Source organism: Homo sapiens, chromosome 1, assembly GCF_000001405.40.
Source record: "Homo sapiens chromosome 1, GRCh38.p14 Primary Assembly".
NCBI lineage: Eukaryota > Metazoa > Chordata > Mammalia > Primates > Hominidae > Homo > Homo sapiens.
The window spans coordinates 240,217,169-240,237,517 of record NC_000001.11 but is presented as its reverse complement, the minus strand read 5'-3'; the positions used below and the strand labels follow the sequence as shown (position 1 = coordinate 240,237,517).

The 20,349-nt window shown below is 38.7% G+C and overlaps 1 protein-coding gene across 9 annotated transcripts in view; it reads right to left on the bottom strand.

The window, feature by feature from the left end:
- The window catches only part of FMN2 (formin 2), a 383,305-nt gene that overhangs the window by 237,670 nt on the left and 125,286 nt on the right, over positions 1–20,349 (bottom strand). Inside the window, exon 8 of one of the 9 annotated variants that reach the window (XM_017001838.2) lies at positions 3,105–3,267. The exons of the other annotated variants lie outside the window; for them this stretch is intronic. Within the exon in view, the coding sequence (XP_016857327.1) occupies positions 3,190–3,267 (78 nt within the window). The 3' untranslated portion in view covers positions 3,105–3,189. Of the gene's footprint in view, positions 1–3,104; positions 3,268–20,349 lie in introns of those variants that run through there. 9 annotated transcript variants of the gene reach the window in all.

Sequence of the window (20,349 nt, the reverse complement as noted above, 5' to 3'; positions counted from 1 at the left end):
TCGAAAAATCCAGAGAAGGGAAAGATACTGAAAATGCATATCAGTAAACAAAATGCATAACAGCAGTTCTACAGGGTAGGAAACTGATAACGGACAAGACCTTGACACTTAAAATCACATGGTCTGTGCAAAGGGGCAAGCTGGGGTCACCAGCAGCTGGTATGCAGAGCTGAGTCAAGGCTGACTTGAACAACTGTAAGCAGCTCTTAAAAAAAGATCCCTGACTGTTTTCTAAGTTGGTGGCAACTTATCCGACTATACCTGTTAATTATCCGCACAAGAACCATCAACAGGGACAGTCAGCAATCAAACAAACTCTTAGAAAGACAGAACTGTTAGCCCAGTCTTTAAATCATTGTTTTGTTTCATGAGATAAGAGGTAGAAATGTGGCTTAAGAAACTAAGATCCAAATCCTAGCCTACTCCATGACTATTCCCAGCTATGTGAAAAACAACAACAAAAACTCACATCCTTCCTGTCCTTAGCTACCATTAGTGGAAGCAATATTGACTTTGCTGAAGACATAAAGAATAAGTCACTTAACTTTGTAAAGGCACTTCCATAAAAAGTTAAACCCAAAGTAGCAAAAAGGAAAACAAAATCCCTGAAAGAAATCCCTGGAAGAGTTTAATTTTTATATGGCTGATATAGTTTGGATGTTTGTCCCCTCCAAATCTCACACTGAAATGTGATTCTCCACTGTTAAAGGTGAGTCCTAGCGAGAGGTGACTGGGTCATGGGAGAGGATCGCTCATGAATGGCTTTGTGCCCTCCTCATGGGAATGAGTGAGTTATCACTCTATTAGTTCCCACGAGATGTGATTGTTAAAAAGAGGCTGGCACTTCCTCCTCTTTCTCTTGCTTCCTCTCTCACCATGTGACATCCCTGCTCCCCTCTTCACCTTCTGCCGTGAGTAAAACCTTCATGGCAGAAGGTGATGAGGCCTCCTCAGAAGCTGAGCAGATGTGGGTGCCTTGCTTGTGTGGTCTACAGAACCATGAGCCAAATAAACCTCTTTTCTTTGTAAAATACCCAGTCCCAGGTATTTCTTTATAACAGTGCAAAACTAACACAGGGGTCTTTTCAAAAAGTCTAATGATTCTGGAACACATAATCTTTAATGCTGGCGACGAGGAAATACCATGGGGTGTCCCACTGTATTAGGGGCCTGAAGTATGTAGTTAAAGGCATGGCGAGAGTGAGAGTCACTAAAGCTAAAAGCTTCCATTCTGAACAGTATGGATGGTGCTAGGGAGATGAGAAAAAATTCCATTTTCAGGTCACACCTGAAAGGAAATCACCTTTCTACCAATAGAACTGAATGAGTGCAAAGAGCTGAAGTCATGCAAAAAACGCCATAATGATCAGCAGAATCCTAGGCTTCAACTTTCACCGCAGATCATGCATGGAGTAAATTTGCTCAAGCATGAATCACACACCCACCTCCTTTGTGTCTATCTCCAAACGGGTACAAGGTAATTCCACACCAAAAACACTCTCCTGGGGAAGAAGAAACCCTCACACATGATACAATAGACATGAATAACCTAAGATATTAAAAAACTAGAAACTTAAAAAAGAAACATCTGAATGATCAGGAGTGACTAATGAATACATTACCAGACATTCTGGGTGGGATTTTTTTCTGCCAGGCCAACTTTGATATGGGGCAGAGGAAGAAGAGGGGAGATGGCTCCTTATTCTCAAAGGTACTGGTTGACTTCACCAGAAGACAGGAAAAGCTTGAGGTTTATGCCCTTCACTGATGCAAGATTACACAACTAACTAATCTGGGGTCTGGACACAGTGGCTCATGCCTGTAATGCCAGCAACTTGGGAGGCCGAGGTGGGTGGATCACTTGAGCCCAGGATTTTGAAACCAGCCTGGGCAACATAGTGAGAACCCATTTCTAAAAAAAATAATAAAAAATTTTTAATTAGCCAGGCATGGTGTCATGCACCTATAATCCCAGATACTTGGGAGGCTGAGGCAGAAGAATCACCTAAGCCCAGGAGTTTGAAGCTGTCGTGAGCGATGATCACACCACTGCACTCCAGCCTGGAAAACAGAGAGAGACCCTCATCTCTGAAAAAAAAAACAAAAAATTAATTAAATTATTTAAAAATCAAAATCTGATCCAAATAAAAGGAGCGTTTAAAATGAAAAGCAAATGAATATCATAGCAATATTAACTTCACCATAGACTGATATCTTGGCTTAGAAGTCTTTCTATTTAATCGTGCAAAGATGACGTCCATGCACTCTTTCTCAACTTGTATATGAGGATACCCTGGACAGAAAGAAGTCACTCTTGATTTATCGCAATATCTTAGACTTCATCTTTTCCCCCTTTCTCATTTTTGAATTAGAAGCCAAAAAACTAAAGTAGAGGCAGGAAAGAGAATAATTTTAGTTTGTATAAATACCAAATTACTCTTTAGTATGAGTCATGTGTTATAGATTCTTTGAAGAATTTTGCATGCAATACTGGTTGCCATACACAGGATGCTAATTGTAGCTCAACATGGAATACAGAAAAGAATACAGATCCTTGAACAATCTGAAATTGTAAGTGTAGTTAAGAGGGATGTACTCATTCCTCTTACAAACATTAGAAGCTGACATGGCCAGGATTTTTAAAAGTTTATAAGTATATGAAAAAAATATTTTTATATAATTGCTTTGCTAAAACATAACTGGAGAAATAAAGTAAGGAAACTAGCTTGTCATGAAGAGAATAAACCTTAGTTTCCTCAGGGATACAGGGAATACAGGAAGTTATCCTCATCTGACTCAACGTGATTCAACATGGTTTTCTAATTATAGCTAATCTGTGGGGAGGCTGATACACACATTTGTAGTGGGGGGGTTGGTGGTGATGACAGAAAGTTTTTTACACATCTCCTAAAGCAGAAATCATGTGGTTATTGTCCAACATCACAATTATGGCAAGCAAGATATATGTCTCTTTGTGGTGGAAAAGATACAGACATGCAAACTCAGACTGGATTTGGGCTAAAGAGACAAATCAGCATCTTCACATACAATGCTCAGGTGCACTCACCCTTCCAAGGCCTGTTTCCCTTTCTTCTACAATGGGTTTTCCCTTTTCTGGAAGATCTCTACACCCTTGATATCTTCTCCGACAGAAGTTCTGCCCATTGTGTAAAATTTCTTTGGCCCTTCTCACCTTTTTCTCCTCTTTTCAGGGGTCATCGGGAAGAAGGTAAGAATCATGGCGAGGGTAGGGGGGATGAGTGTCACCTGAGGAGGTTGTTAATGCAAAAAAATTCAATAATTTCTTCGAATTTTTTCTGCCTCTTTTTCTTTTCCGCTTTGTCCCCCTAGAAAAACCAGCTGGCACTATGAGCTCAAGGGAAGTCTGACTGGAATAGATGGAAAGGAATGAATTTAAACTCACGGCTGTCTATGAGTTTAAAATACCTTATCAGTTAAAAAGATCCAAGAAATAATGAATTCATGCCCTGCAAAAATTCTATCCTTCCAACATCCCTTTCATCCATCTGAAAGGCTGAATCACATCTGCCTGGGACTTTAAAGTAACTATGAAATATAGACCATCATTGCCAGTGGGTATCGTCAATAGTTGTAAAGAATCCATTTCCAGGGTTTCTGGATCACTAAAATGGGCTATTTTGCTTGTTAAGGAGGGAGGGGGCCAATGTGCAATGTGTGAGTCCGCCTGCCTCTTGCTTCTAGTTCTTTTTATGCGCATACAGAAAGAGGAGGAATATCATAGGCTGGTTTTATCCCTAATGAATTAATGAGGTGGTCCTATTCTTTGTAAGGTCCTACTAATTAATTAATGAAGTGGTCCTATTCTTTGTAAGGTCCTACTAATTAATTAATGAGGTGGTCCTATTCTTTGTAAGATTTATATATTGAGTTTTTCAGAATAAGCAACATCTTTCAAATGTGAATTTTTCTCTTAAACTCAGCATGAGTCTTCAGAACAATAGTATGTCACTTCCTCTAGATGACTTCTGTGGAATTAAATTTAAAACTCAGTAGAATAGTCTTAGCAAGAGAGATGGTTTTACATGCTTTGAGAAAGAAATTTAAAAGGAAGATAGACCCATACACAGTCTTTTTTTTTTTTTTTCTTTTTTGAGATGAAGTCTCGCTCTGTCACCCAGGCTGGAGTGCAGTGGTGCGATCTCGGCTCACTGCAACTTCTGTTCACCTCCAGGGTTTGAGCGATTCTCCTGCCTCAGCCTCCTGAGTAGCTGGGATTACAGGTGCCCGCCACCAAGCCCGGATAATTTTTGTCTTTTTAGTAAAGACGGGGTTTCACCATGTTGGTCAGGCTGGTATTGAACTCCTGAGCTCAGGTGATCCACCTGCCTTGGCCTCCCAAAGTGCTGGGATTACAGGAGTGAGCCACCAAGCCCGGCCATCATACACAGTAGTTTTCTAATAATCTGAATTTATTAAGTGGCTGTTACAGTGAATGAATGAATTTTTTAAAAGCGTGGGCAACAATAAACCACTAGAAATTTACAACAGCTTACATTTTAAAACTACGATGTTGATGTGAGTAAACACACAGAAAAGATAAAATAAATATCTGAGCAAAACAGCAAGGCCACAGTAAGATGAGTAAGAAAAACAGTAAGGATGTGACAGATTCAACAAAGTCCTGGGTGGCCTAGCGGGGAAAAAAAATGTATAGTAGACTATTATAAGGAAGGAATGCCGTGGTTATTAAAACAGGGTACTGAAATCTGTGAAACCATATTAGTAACCTCAAGAATGGCAAACATGACTTATTAAGTTGGATTAAGAAAAAAAGAGGGCAAACTGAAAACAAACAAATTACTGTTTGGTATGAGTCATATGTTATAGATTCTTTCTAGAATTTTGCATGCAATCCTGGTTGCCATACATGAGATGCTAATTGTATCTCAACATGAATACAGAAAAGAGTAGAGATTCTTGAACAATCTAAAATGTTAAGTGTAGTTAAGAGGGATGTATTCTTTCCTGTTAGAAACATCAGAAGCTGACATGGTCTGGATTTGTTAAAGTATACGTGTATGAAAAAGATATTTTTAAGTAGGTTTTCAACTCCATAGTGTTGCATAATTTCAAATTAAGAAAAAGAGGCTGAGTGCAGTGGCTCACGCCTGTAATGCCAGCACTTTGGGAGGCCAATGTGGGTGGATCACGAGGTCAGGAGATCGAGACCATCCTGGCCAACATTGTGAAACCCTGTCTCTACTTAAAAAAAAAAAAAAAAAAAAAGATTAGCTGGGCCTGGTGGTTGGTGTGTGCCTGGTGCCTGTAGTTCCAGCTACTTGGGAGGCTGAGGCAGGAGAATCCCTTGAACCCAGGAGGCGGAGGTTGCAGTGAGCTGAGATCGCATCATTGCACTCCAGCCTGGTGACAGAGCAAGACTCCATCTCAAAAAAAATTAAAAAAGAAAAAGAAAAAGAATGAGCAAATGGAAGAGATTCAACAACATAAATGTTAAGATGCTCATGGTAGAGAATATAAGTAATACTCTTATCTGAAAAAGTGAAGAAAACATATGGAAGATGTTACCAGGAAGGAAACCAAGCAATGAGGATCAATGAATTCAAGAAGTGCCTACAAACGCTTTGGAGAACAGAGGGATTTTTAAAAGGGATAAACTCAGAGGATGATAAGACCGGATAGATGTGACAAGAGGACTTCTTCAAAACCACTATTTCTAGTGCTTGAAGACATTTATTAAATAACATAAACCCAAAGAAGCTTGCCTTACATAAGCTCTTTATGCTGTTTGGGTAGAAAAAATCTCGCAAACTAAATCCAAGTTTGAAAATGCAAAACTACTGAATCAGTTCAAACCTAATTATTATTTCAAGTCACCACTGTACCTACTACAAGCCCCTCACAAATCATGCCAGATTAAACACCTCAGGCCCTCAAATTTCTATGCCTTCAAATCACTATTCAGAAGCTGTGCTTTTCCTCCTAGTTAAATAAATGATTCTAATTTAGCCGATGGTATAATTTGCTTTTAAACTGTGTATTTTACACTAACACCTGTTTCCTTCCTGTTCAACTTTCTGTCACTAAAATATTCAGAATAAACTGAAACCACCTTGCCATTTGATCTTCTTCATCTGCATTTTATAATGATCAGATTTTTTAATACAGTCAAGCTTTGTTCACATTGGTAGAAACATAGCGAAATACATTTTCAATCATTTTAAAAAGAAAAAGCTTTGTTTTGGTCTTATATTTGGCAAGTTTGTATTGTTTTATTTTTTGGAAGGCTTAATGTGGAACGCAAAGAGATGGTCAAATTAGAGAGTTTTTTGTTTTGTTTTCTTGTTTTTGGAATAGCTGTGTGTCTACCTGCTTCGTGTGTGGCAGTATTGAGAAGAAGGCTGGCATTACTGGAATAGGAAAGTTTTTACTTACAACACAACAGCCAAGTCAGTCTGGCATCACTGGGGGAATACTGCAATCTAGCTTTCAAAACAAAACAAGTTACTGTGTCTTTCCTTGCCAGTTCAAAGGATGGAGACCAACTCAAAGCCAATTTCTATGGAGCCTTGTGCCGATCTAGGCCATTGAAGAAAAGCTGATCATTTAAAAAGCACTCAGCTGCAAGTGGATTTCAACTCAGATTCTAGCTTCTAGCATGAAGAACATGCTAGTTTCTTTTGTTGGCACTAGAAAAAAGCAGGCAAAATTCCATCCTAATTATGAAAAGCTTTACTTACAGGGGTAATTAAGTACACAAAATGTTAGTAAAAGGAGCTGCAAGTAAAAACACCAACAACATTATACAGGAGAGTATTAAAAGAGAAAAGGAGTCATTCTGTACTATATTTACAGCTAAGGAAATTTAAAGAGTGACCTATACATGTTTTGTAAAAAGTTTTAATGGCAACATTACAATCCATATAGAAAAATACACAGAACTATACATAAAGATTAACACATGGATCAATTAAAGAAAAGCCTTGCCTACATTCCTACTAATACACACCTCAAAACAAAATTTTTTTATGGCTCTCTGAGAAAAAATAGGAAAAAACAGAAATACTTTAGGTGGCATCAAAGCTTTAGGGGACGTCAGCTCTTCCTGCTCTCATTTTAACTTCATTTACACTATTCTCTTTCTTTTCTATAAGCTATTGGGTTAGTTTTTTTGTTGTTGTTGTTGTTTTTCAGACAGGGTCTGACTCTCTTGCCCAGGCTGGAGTGCAGTGGCTTGATCTCGGCTCACTGCAGCCTTGACCTCCTGGGCTTAAGCGATCCTCCTGCCTCAGCCTCTCAAGCAGCTGGGAGTAGGTGGGGCTACAGGCACATGCCACCATGCCCAACTAATTTTTGTATTTTTTTGTAGAGACGTGGTCTCATTGTGTTTCCCAGGCTGGTCTCAAACTTCTGGGTTCAAGTGATCCTGCCACCTCAGCCTCCCAAAAGGCTGGGATTATAGGCATGAACCACTGCGCCGGCCTCTCTTCTATAAATTTTTGGTTAGCAAGGTTTATACTACAGTTTCTTAAAATGTGTTTACTAAAACTTGATATTTCAAAGATACTTTTCTGCTGGGCACGGTGGCTCATACCTGTAATCCTAGCACTTTGGGAGGCTGAGGTGAGTGGATTACCTGAGGTCAGCAGTTCGAGACCAGCCTGACCAACATGGTGAAACCCTGTCTCTACTAAAATACAAAAATTAGCTGGGCATGGTGGTGCATGCCTGTAATCCCAGCTACCCAGGAGGCTGAGGCAGGAGAATCGCTGGAACCGGGGAGGCAGAGGCTGCAGTGAGCTGAGATCATGCCACTGGCACTCCAGTCTGAGACTCTGTCTCTTAAAAAAATAAAAATAAAAAAAAAGTCAGCTATGGAAGGATAGCACAGACATTTCATTCACTTTTAAACCTGGCGCATCATCACATGAAACAATTCCACAGAACCACCAAACATAGTCATTTTTTATAAACAGTACATTGGTACTATCATAGCAGCATATTAAGTCCTGACTCTTCTAGGGAGGCATCATTAACTGTCACCAATAAATCAATACTTTTTGATCTTCACTCTGTATATGAGCATAAAGGGTAAGGTATGTTGATTACCAAGAGAAGATCAAACATCACAGCACGTGAAAGAAAGAGAGAGGGAGGGAGATGGATAAGGTGAGGAAGAGGGGGAAGAATGGTGGGGTATGGGCTAATTTTAATTTGTGCATTCAAATTTAGGTTCAATAATGCAAATCTCTATTTCCACATAGGTCTGTTCAACGTGTAAGTTAAAAACACAGAAGTCTTTAGATTTTGCTTTCAATCCTCCTTCCTCCATGAAGACTTGATGGAAGAAAGAGTCTTCAAAACTTTTATGAAAATAGGCAATAAAACCAGTTTACTGTCAAATATTAAAACAACAGTGGAGGTAATCTTCATAAACACAGCAAATCTGTCTCTGGGGGATTCTGGTGACTGTGTCCGAAAGTCACCAGAATCCCCCAGAAGGCCAGAAAGGATTTTCCAAAGGGGTTTTAATTATATTCCCAGAGCCCAGACTCCTCAAGAGAAAAATCACAGTCCATATATCTTTAGTCTCTTCATCAAAAGCAAAGAAAAAAGTTATAAATTTCTCCTTCTGAGATTAATGAACTCTTGCCTATAAAACTATATTATGCTTTAAGTTAAAAACAGCTTAAACTTTTGACCATTTATTTTTAGGGAAAAAAAAGTTTATCTTAAGGTTTTTTGAGGTTGAAAAATATATTATTTATCCAGAAAATTATAGTCTGATATCATGATCATTCTATGGGTAACAAGTGCTACCAGCAAAATTATTTACCTTCTCATAAAAAATACTTACTAGCAAATACTTGCATAAATAGGCTAAGACTTGAAATTCTTATTGAAATTCAAATGGCTGCACCTTTTTTCATTTCCACCAGCGGTGTATGAGGGTTCCAGTTTCTCCGCATCCTTATCATGCTAGCTATGGCCTTTCTCTTTGATTATAGCCATCCTTGCACATGTGAGGTGGTGTTGCATTGTGGTTTTGATTTTCATTTCCCTAATGCTAATAGTGTTGAATAGTATCCTTTTATGTGCTTATTTGAGAGTGGTATACTTTTCTGGAGAAATCCCTACTGAAACCTTTTGCCCATTTTTTTTCTTTCTTTTTCTTTTTCTTTTTCTTTTTTTTTTTTTTTTTTTTTTTTTTTTTGAGACAGAGTTTCACTCTTGTTGCCCAGGCTGGAGTGCAATGGCACAGTCTCGGCTCACCACAACCTCTGCCTCCTGGGTTCAAGCGATTCTCCTGCTTCAGACTCCCGAGTAGCTGGGATTATAGGCATGTGCCACCACACCTAGCTAATTTTGTATTTTTAGTAGAGATGGGGTTTCTCCATGTTGGTCAGGCTGGTCTCAAACTCCCGACCTCAGGTGATCCACCCGCCTCGGCCTCCCAAAGTGCTGGGATTACAGGTGTGAGTCACTGCGCTCGGCCTTGCCCATTTTGAAATTAGATTTTTTTAAAATTATTGTTGTTATTGAGTTGTAGGAGTTATTTAGATATTCAGGATGTTAACCACTTATCAGATTTGTGACTTGCAAACATTTCCTCCCATTTTGTGGGTTGGTTGTCTTTTTAAGTTTTTTGATGGTATTGTTTGTAGATTCAAAATTGTTAACTTTGATGTAGAATAATCTATTTTTTCTTTTGTCATATGTGCTTTTAGAGTCATAGATCTAAGAAACCATTGCCTAATCTCATTCTTTTGCATGTGGATATACAGTTGTCCCAACACCATTTGTTGAAAAGACCATTCTTTCACCCTTGAAATGTCTTAGTACCATTGTCAAAAATCAACAGACCATAAATGTAAGAACTGATTTCTGGACTCTCAAATATATTCCATTGACCAATATGTGTATTAGTATGCCAGTACTATATTGTCTTAATTACTATAGTTTTGTAATAACTTTTGAAATCAGGAGGCTTCCAACTTTGTTCTTTTGCTAGATTGTTTTGGCTATTCTGAGATCCTTCATTTTTCACGTGAATTTTTAAATTAGCTTGTCTATTTTGCTAAAAAAAAATGAGTTTGGAGAAATGGTTGGGATGTTGCTAGACACTGTGTTGAATCTGTAGGACAACTTGGCAAGTATCATCATCTTAACAATATCAAGTCTTCCCATCCATAACCATGGCATGTTCCCTTTATTTAGATCCTCCTTAACTTCTTTCAACAATGCTTTCTAGATTCAGTGTAAAATTCTTTTTTAAAATCCATACTTCAGTATCTTATTCTTTTTAATAATACTGCAAAGGGAGTTGTTTTCCTAATTACATTTTCACAATGATAATTGCTAATGTCTAGAAATACAATTAGATTCCTTGTTACGTCTAATAGTTTCTTCTAATGAATTCCTTAGGACTTCTTACATACAAGATCATGTCATCTGCAAAATGTTTTGCTGCTTCCATTCCAATCAGGAGACCATTTATTTCTTTCCCTTGCCTAATTGCCTTGACTAGAACTTCTAGCACATTGCTAAACAGAAGTAACAAGAATGAACATCCTTGTCTTTTTCCTGAAAAACATCCAGTCTTCAATGTGAGCCCTGGGTTTTTCACAGATGCTATCAGGCTGAGGAAGTTCCCTTCTAGTCCCATTTGTGTGTGTGTGTGTATGTGTGTGTGTGTGTGTGTGTGTGTCACTAAAGTGTATACGATTTGGTAACTGCGGATTCTACAGCTATTGAGATGTTCACGGACTTTTGTCTTTTTTCTTTTTTAGAGACAAGGTCTCATTCTACCACCCAGGCAGGAGTACAGTGGCACGATCATAGCTCACTGCAGCCACAAACTATCACTTAAGAGAACTATGTAATTATACTATGTTTTGTGCAGATAAAAAATGTTTACCAGTGCTCCTTGTTTTTGTATATGTGATCTCAAATTACCATATCATTTTCGTTCAACTTGAACTTTCTTTACTGTTTCTTGAAAGCCAGGTCTTTTAGCAACAAATTCTCTCAGTTTTTGTTTATCTGGAAATGTCTGTCTTTTGTCTCCATTTTAGAAAAACTCTCACTGGATGTAAGATGACTGGTTGAACATTTCGCTTTCAGTACTTTGAATGTCATCCTACTGCCTTCTGGTCTTCATTAATTCTGATAAGTCTGCTGTTAGTATTATTGGGGTTCCCTTGTATGAGATGTGTTGTTTTTCTTTCACTGCATTCATACTTTTTAATTGTTAGCTTTCAACAATTTGACTATGATATAGGGGGTGTGGATCTCTTTATGTTTATCTATGAGGAATTCATTGAACTTCTTGGATGTGTGTATTAATGTTTTTCATAAAGTTGAGAAGTTTTCAGCCACATACATTCAATTATTTTTCTGCCCCTTTTCTCTCTCCTCTCCTTTGGATATAGTTCACATACACTGGTCCCTTAGTGGTGTACCCCCATTTTTCTGAGGCTGTCAGTTTTTTTCATTCTTTTCTGTGTATGTTCTTCAGATTGTGCCATCTCTATTGATCTATGTTCAAGTCTGCTGATTATTTTCTTCTGTCACCACTAATCGATCGTTAAATCATCTAGTAATTTTTTCCCATTTTGGTTATTGTACTTTTAACTCTAGAATTATTTTATAATGTCAATCTATTTATTGATATTCCCTACTTGACAGTGTCCCCATACCTTCTTTGATTTCTTACAAATAGTTGCCTGGAGTTCTTTGAAGATATTTTTAATGGGTGCGTTGAGTTCTTTGTTAAGTCTAACATCTGGGTCCTTTTGAATAATGTTTCTGTTGCCTGTTTGTTTTCCTGTGTATAGGCCACTCTTTCCTGTTCTTTACATGACTTGAATTTGTTGTTGAAAACTAGACATTTCACGCATTATATTTTATCAATTCCAGATATTGATTTTTCCCTTCCCTGCCCCAGAGCTTCTTGTGTTTCTGGTTTGCCTATTTATTTACTTGGTTACTTCACTAGGCTCATTCAGTGAAATCTGTTTCTGGCTCAGTGAGCAGCCTGACATTCCTGCACACATTTTTCCTTCACGTTTTTAATCTTTCAGCCTGGCTACCTATGGGTCACCCCTGAATGGGCATGAGCCATTTATCAGTGAAAGATTATTCTTAAGGCCCCTGGGCCCTTAGGGTTTTACCCTTAACCACTGGGGCTGAGGGGTGCCTTGGAGTCTGCTATCACATTCAGGGAATTTACCAATTTTTTCTACCATGTTCATCTGGAAACTAGCCACTGGGCTTTTCCCTCTCCAGTTGCTCCTGTGAGGGTACAGCCTTGGGTATGTACACAGCTTTCAGACTGCCAGAGATGACTGCAATATTATTTTTAAGCCTCGTTTCTTAGGAATTGCCCCTGTGTCAGAATAGCTTATTGTTTGCTCAGTGTTTTAACAGAGGTATTGAAACTGACCCAATAGTCCCATAGACAGATCTTTTTGATGAACATAGAAATTGATCATTTGGTCTTAATGCTTGAAACTTATATTTGTTTTATCTGAGTTCCTTCCTCCAAAAAGCACCTTCAGGCCTCTAAATAAGTATCAAAGAACTAAAACTCACCAGCTCACCACACCAGACCCCTCATTCACCATGATTGACTCCTTGCTGCATGCTAGTTCTTGTTTTCTTACACATTGCTACATTTCTCCCCCACTATATAGACCTCTAATTTTAGTCAGCCAGGGAGATGGATTTGAGACTGAGCTCCCATCTCCTTGGCTGCAGCAAATGATTAAAGCCTTCTTCCTTGGCAATACTTGTCATCTCAGTGATTGGCTTTCTGTGCGGCGAGCAGCACGAACTAGACTGAACCCCTGGTGTTTCAGTAAGAGTATGTTTAAGACTCATGCCAAGACTTAGACTCCCACACAATAATAGTGGGAGATTTTAACACCCCACTGTCAACATTTGACAGATCAACGAGACAGAAAATTAACAAGGATATTCAGAACTTGAAATCTTTGGTCCTATTAGGACCAAGTGGACCTAATAGACATCTACAGAACTCTCCACCCCAAATCAACAGAATATACATTCTTCTCAGCACCACATCGCACTTATTCTAAAATTGAACACATAACTGGAAGTAAAACACTCCTCAGCAAATGCAAAAGAATGGAAATCATAACAAACAGTCTCTCAGACCACAGTACAATCAAATTACAACTCAGGATTAAGAATCTCAGTCAAAGCCACATAACTACATAGAAACTGAACAACCTGCTCCTGAACGACTACTGGGTAAATAACGAAATCAAGCCAGAAATAAATAAGTTCTTTGAAACCAATGAGAACAAAGATACAACGTACCAGAATCTCTGGGACACAGCTAAAGCAGTAATTAAGAGGGAAATTTATAGCACTAAATGTCTACAGGAGAAAGCAGGAAAGATCTAAAATCAACACTCTAACATCAAAATTAAAAGAACTAGAGAAGCAAGAGCCAACAAACCCAAAAGCTAGCAGAAGATAAGAAATAACTAAGATCAGAGCAGAACTGAAGGAGATAGAGACATGGAAAGCCCTTCAAAAAAATCAACGAATCCAGGAGCTGGTGTTTTTTAAAAGATTAACAAAATAGACCACTAGCCAGACTAATAAAGAAGAAAAGAGATAAGAAACAAATAGACACAATAAAAAATGATAAAGGGGATATCACCACTGATCCCACAGAAATACAAACTACCATCAGAGAATACTATAAACACCTCTACCCAAATAAACTAGAAAATCTAGAAGAAATGGATAAATTCTTGGACACATACACCCTCTCAAGTCCAAACAAGGAAGAAGTCATATCCCTGAATAAACCAATAACAAGTTCTGAAAACGAGGCAGTAATTGCTAGCCTACCAACCAAAAAAAGCCCAGGACTAGACAGATTCACAGCCGAATTTTACCAGAGGTACAAAGACCAGCTGGTACCATTCCTTCCGAAACGGTTCCAAACAGTAGAAAAAGAGGGACTCTGCCCTAACTCATTTTGTGAGGCCAGCATCATCCTGATACCAAAACCTGGCAGAGACAAAACAAAACAAAAAAATTTCAGGCCAATATCCCTAATGAACATCGATGCGAAAATCCTCAATAAAATAATGGCAAACCGAATCCAGCAGCAAATCAAAAAGCTTATCCACCATGATCAAATTTGCTTAATCCCTGGGATGCAAGGCTGGTTCAACATACATAAATCAAAAACGTAACCCATCACATAAACAGAACCAGTGCAAAAAACCAGATGATTATCTCAACAGATGCAGAAAAGGCCTTCAATAAAATTCAGCACCGCTTTATGCTAAAAGCTCTCAATAAACTAGGTATTGATGGAATGTATCTCAAAATAATAAAAGCTATTTATGACAAACCCACAGCCAATATCATACTGAATGGGCAGAAGATGGAAGCATTCCTTTTGAAAACTGGCACAAGACAAGGATGCCCTCTCTCACCACTCCTATTCAACACAGTATTAAAAGTTCTGGCCAGGGCAATCAGGCAAAAGAAAGAAATAAAGGGTATTCAAATAGGAAGTCAAATTGTCTCCGTTTGCAGATGACATGATTGTATATTTAGAAAATCCCATCGTCTCAGCCCCAAATCTCCTTAAGCTGATAAGCAACTTCAGCAAAGTCTCAGGATACAAAATCAATGTGCAAAAATCACAAACATTCCTATACACCAATAATAGACAAACAGAGAGCCAAATCATGAGTGAACTCCCATTCACAATTGCTACAAAGAGAATAAAATACCTAGGAATAAAACTTACAAGGGATGTGAAGAACCTCTTCAAGGAGAACTGCAAACCACTGCTCAAGGAAACAAGAGAGGTCACAAACAAATGGAAAAACATTCCATGCTCATGGATAGGAAGAATCAATATTGTGAAAATGGCCATAGTGCACAAAGTAATTTATAGGTTCAATGCTACCCCCATCAAGCTACCATTGACTTCCTTCACAGAATTTAAAAAAAAAACTACTTTAAATTTCATATAGAACCATAAAAGAGCCCATATAGCCAAGTCATCCTAAGCAAAAAGAACAAAGCTGGAAGCATCACACCACCTGACTTCAAACTCTACTACAAGGCTACAGTAACCAAAACAGCATGGTACTGGTACCAAAACAGATATATAGACCAATGGAACAGAGCAGAGGCCTCAGAAATAATGTTACACATCTACAACCATCTGACCTTTGACAAACCTGACAAAAACAAGCAATGGGGAAAGGAGTCCCTATTTAATAAATGGTGTTGGGAAAACTGGCAGCCATATGCAGAAAACTGAAACTGAACCCCTTTCCTTACATCCTATATGAAAATTAACTCAAGATGGATTAAAGACTTAAACACAAGACCTAAAACCTGCCGAGGCAGGTGGGTGACTTGAGGCCAGGAGTTCGAGACCAGCCTGGCCATCATAGTGAAACCCCATCTCTACTAAAAATACAAAAAAAAAAAAAAAATTAGCTGGGTGTGTTGGTGGGCACCTATAATCCCAGCTACTTGGGAAGTTGAGGCAGGAGAATTGCTTGAACCCAGGAGGCAGAGCTTGTAGTGAGCTGAGATTGCGCCACTGCACTCCAACCTGGGTGACAGAGCAAGACTTCATTAAAAAAAAAAAAAAAAAAGTCCCTAGAAGAAAACCTAGGCAATACCATTCAGGACATAGGCATGGGCAAAGTCTTCATGATTAAAACACCAAAAGCAATGGCAACAAAAGCCAAAATTGACAAACGGGATCTAATTAAAGAGCATCTGCACAGCAAAACAAACTATCATCAGAGTGAACAGGCAACCGACAGAATGGGAGAAAATTTTTGCAATCTATCCATCTGACAAAAGGGCTAATATCCAGAATCTACCAGAATCTACAAAGAACTTAAACAAATTTACAAGAAAAAAAACAAACAAACAATCCCATCAAAAAGTGGGCAAAGGATATGAACAGACACTTCTCAAAAGAAGACATTTATGTGGCCAATAAACATATGAAAAAAAGCTCATCATCACTGGTCATTAGAGAAATGCAAATCAAAAACACAATGAGATACCATCTCATGCCAGTCAGAATGGCGATCATTAAAAAGTTGGGAAATAACAGATGCTGGAGAGGATGTGGAGAAATAGGAACACTTTTACACTGTTGGTGGGAGTGTAAATTAGTTCAACCATTGTGGAAGACAGTGTGGTGATTCCTCAAGGATCTAGAACCAGAAATACCATTTGACCCAGCAATCCCATTACTGGGTATATACTCAAAGGATTATAAATCATTCTACTATAAAGACGCATGCACACATATGTTTATTGCAGCACTATTCACAATAGCAAAGACTTGGAACCACCCAAAATGCCCATCAATGATAGGCTGGATAAAGAAAATGTGGCACATATACACCATGGAATACAATGCAGCCATAAAAAAGGATGAGTTCGTGTCCTTTGCAGAGACATGGATGAAGCTGGAAACCATCATTCTCAGCAAACTAACACACAAACAGAAAACCAAATACTGCATGTTCTCACTCATAAGTGAGAGTTGAACAATGAGAACACATGGACACATGGAGCAGAACATCACACACCGGGGCCTGTCGTGGGGTGGGGGGGCTGGAGGAGGGATAGCATTAGGAGAAATACCTCATGTAGATGACGGGTTGATGGGTGCAGCAAACCACCATGGCACGTGTATACCTATGTAACAAACCTGCATGTTCTGCACATGTATCCCAGAACTTAAAGTATAATAAAAGAAAATAAATAAATAAAATGGGATTAATAACACACACACACACACACACACACACACAAACACAGACTCATGCCAGTGAAGCTTCCGCTTGGTTTTGGTGGGTCTGTATGAGGTTAGCGAATGCTTTCCTGGGGACACCACATCTTGCTCTGATTGCTCTTGCTTGGATGGCTGCAGCCTGGCAGGTGTGTATTCACACCCTCCCTACTTCCATCGATGATGGTGATCCTTAAAGGGCCCTTCTCAAAGGTCTCCCGTGGTTCTCCATGCTTGCCTGTTATAAAGCTTCTCTAACAGGAGACTGAAGAAATTAGAAATGCCAGCATCCTGCCTCTCCCAGACCAAAATCATAGCCATAGACATAGTTGTAGAGAAAGACAGAGAACTATGGTCTTCTTGGCCACACATGTCTAGAGTAGAGCAGAGCTGGGGGTGGCTGGTAACAGAGTGGGTTGTGGCTCAACTGTCAGAGACTCTTGCTGTTATGAGTTTTAGGAGATTTTCTTGAATGACTGTTTCTCCGTTTCCTGTGTGCCCTTAGGACAATTTTCAGAGATTTTACACAATTTTTTGTTATAATTCTCACCAGTTAAGTTGTTGTTTTACTGGGGAGAGGATTCACCAAGTTCCTCACTATCTCGAGAAGACTCTCCTCCAGACAGCTTGCTAAAGTAATACTTCAGACAGTTTCAGGTCCCAAAGTAATTTTAAAGATTCATAAATTAACAAAAACTAAAGGTGAAATACTAAACATCTTCCATTTCGTTGTCTGGGCATGGTGGCTCACGCTTCTAATCCCAGCACTTTGGGAAGCGGAGGCAGGAAGATTGCCTGAGCCCAGGAGTACAAGACCAGCATGGGCAACATGGCGACTCCCCGTCCCTACAAAATAAAAATTAAAAAGTTAGCCAGGCTCGGTGGCCCACACCTAGAGTCCCAGCTACGTGGGAGGCTGAGGTGAGAGGATTGCTCGAGCCAGGGAAGTCGAGGCTGCAGTGAGCCATGATCATACCACAGTACTCCAGCCTGGGAGACAGAGTGAGACCCCGTCTCAAAAAAAAATAAATACAAAAAATTTTAAAACCTCCATTTTGCAAATGGTTATGGCTTTAAAAAAGAAACAGTTTATTTTCCATTTATAAAAAGTTTTAAATTAAAGAAACTAAAGACACAAATAAGAACTTTATTATTTTTTTTCTAAATCTTAAACTTATGCCCTCAAATAACAGGAACTCTTTTTCGGTTTAGGTCACACGAAGTTTGGTTGTGAATAATCTGACTAGTGTCATCACCAGCATCCCTTCTGGTAGACAAAAGGTAGGACCTATCATAATTGTGACTATGTAGGTCAAATGACGAATAAAATCCTCCTTTGCCCTGAGATCATCCCAAATCCTGTTGCTGTCCATGGTAAAGAAGGATACATCCTGCTGTTTCATACCGTGACACCAAAATAAGCTTCAGGTCCAATTAATCTAAATTCAGTCCTCACACTTATTTCTAGTATGACAAACCCGAGGCTGGGTAGAAGGATGAGAAGGAAACACATTCAGCTAAGAGAAATGAATATAAATGATCTACATTCACATTCCTAAAACTCCCAGACAGAAGCACGCAAGCCAGGTCTGCTAAATGAGCTGCACGGAAACCTTTGCTTGTGGTGCTATTCTCAAAAATCATCCCTTAATCCTCTCTACATATTTAAACCAAATAAATTCTTCAAGGCCCATTTCAAATCATATCTCCTCCACACAGCCTTTATCCCAAGTCCAGCCTATATACTCTGTTCTACTTCTGACCACCCACAGTTTGCACTATCTTTAGTATATAGCATGGAACCTGAAGGATAATTCAAGTATAGTCACTTGAATTACTCAAAACTGTCTCTCTTGGGTTGTTCCACAATAAATTAGCCCTCCAGAGAACCTCTGTGCCCTTTCTGGTATTTTAGCTCATTTCCTCTGCTGCAGTCCCTGCTGAAATGGATCAACTGTGCTGTCATCGGATCAAAAAAGGGGGCAACAGTGAAAGTGTTCACTGTTTAGTTTTTCCAGTGAAACTAAAGAGGGCTCTCCGCAATAGTGGCTCCACTCTAAATTGGCTGTGCTGAGAAAACACTCTCCCATCATCTGCTCCAGATAGAAATAAAATTTTTTTTTTTTTAGAGATGAGATGGGGTCTCACTATGTTGCCTAGGCTGGAGGGCAGTGGGTATCACAGGCAAAATCACAGCACACTACAGCCCACAACAGCCCACCTTGTAGGTGGGTCTACAGGTACATGCCACTGCGTCTGGCATTCCAAAGAGCACTTATACTCTATTCTATAATCTTTCTTCAATTCCTATGAATTATACACAGAACATTCTAGCCATTAAAAATTAATACCCCTTTCTTGTACATTTAGTCCAACAGAATCTTTTTTTTTTTTTTTTTTTTTTTTTTGAGACAGAGTCTCGCTCTGTCGCCAGGCTGGAGTGCAATGGTGCAATCTTGACTCACTGCAACATCCACCTCCTGGGTTCAAGCAATCCTCCTGCATCAGCCTCCTGAGTATCTGGGACTACAGGCGCATGCCATCACGCCCAGCTAATTTTTGTATTTTTAGTAGAGATGGGGTTTCACCATGTTGGCCAGGATGGTCTCGATCTCTTGACCTTGTGATCCGCCCACCTAGGCCTCCCAAAGTGCTGGGATTACAGGCGTGAGCCACTGCGCCCAGCCCAGAATCTTAATACCGTGGTATATAAATATAAAATCCAAAAGAATTAACTATCTACACTATGATTAAATTGTATGCAATTCCAAAGCACGATTACCTAAATATAATTTCCCTAATATATAATCTAGCAAGGTGAAGGATAATTAGCTTCATTACATTTCCTTTATATTATGCTGGTGTATTCGTGTTTTTTTTTTTATTTTTAGCCATTTACTTAGAAGTATAAAAACAATCTTACTGGCTAAAAGAAAATTTAAAAGCAGAGGTTAATATTATTGCATTCCTTGAATTGATTGGGTATGCTCTACAAATAGTTATAGGAATAGCATCTTCAAAAAAAAAATAAATCTTTCAACATCTTAAACAAATCCAGATTCCACAAAACCTATGCTTGTCTAATTATAGTTTTGAATTTTGATGTGGTTTTCTATGTAAATACATTTTTAAGGCTTGCAATAGGAATGTATTCTATTAAAAGCAGATGTTAAAAGTTACAAAGTACCAAATGTTTATTATGTATCCCCAAAACAAATTTAAATTGTTTTATTATAAGATATTTAGTGTTTCAGACATTATTTTATGTCTTTGGTCAAAAGACAAATATAACTGTCCAAATCAACCAAAACACACCCTTGCCAACTACAACTGGAACAATTAACACCAATACAAAACATGTCTTCTATAACACAAATTATCATTCAGTCTGTCACTCTGCAAGCACTGAAATATCTACTAATTACAATAAAACATAGTTTTCAATCTAAAAATGAATATCTGCAATAAATAAAACTGCAGCAAAGATCAAAGATAAAATATGTAATCTCTTTTTCCTTTTC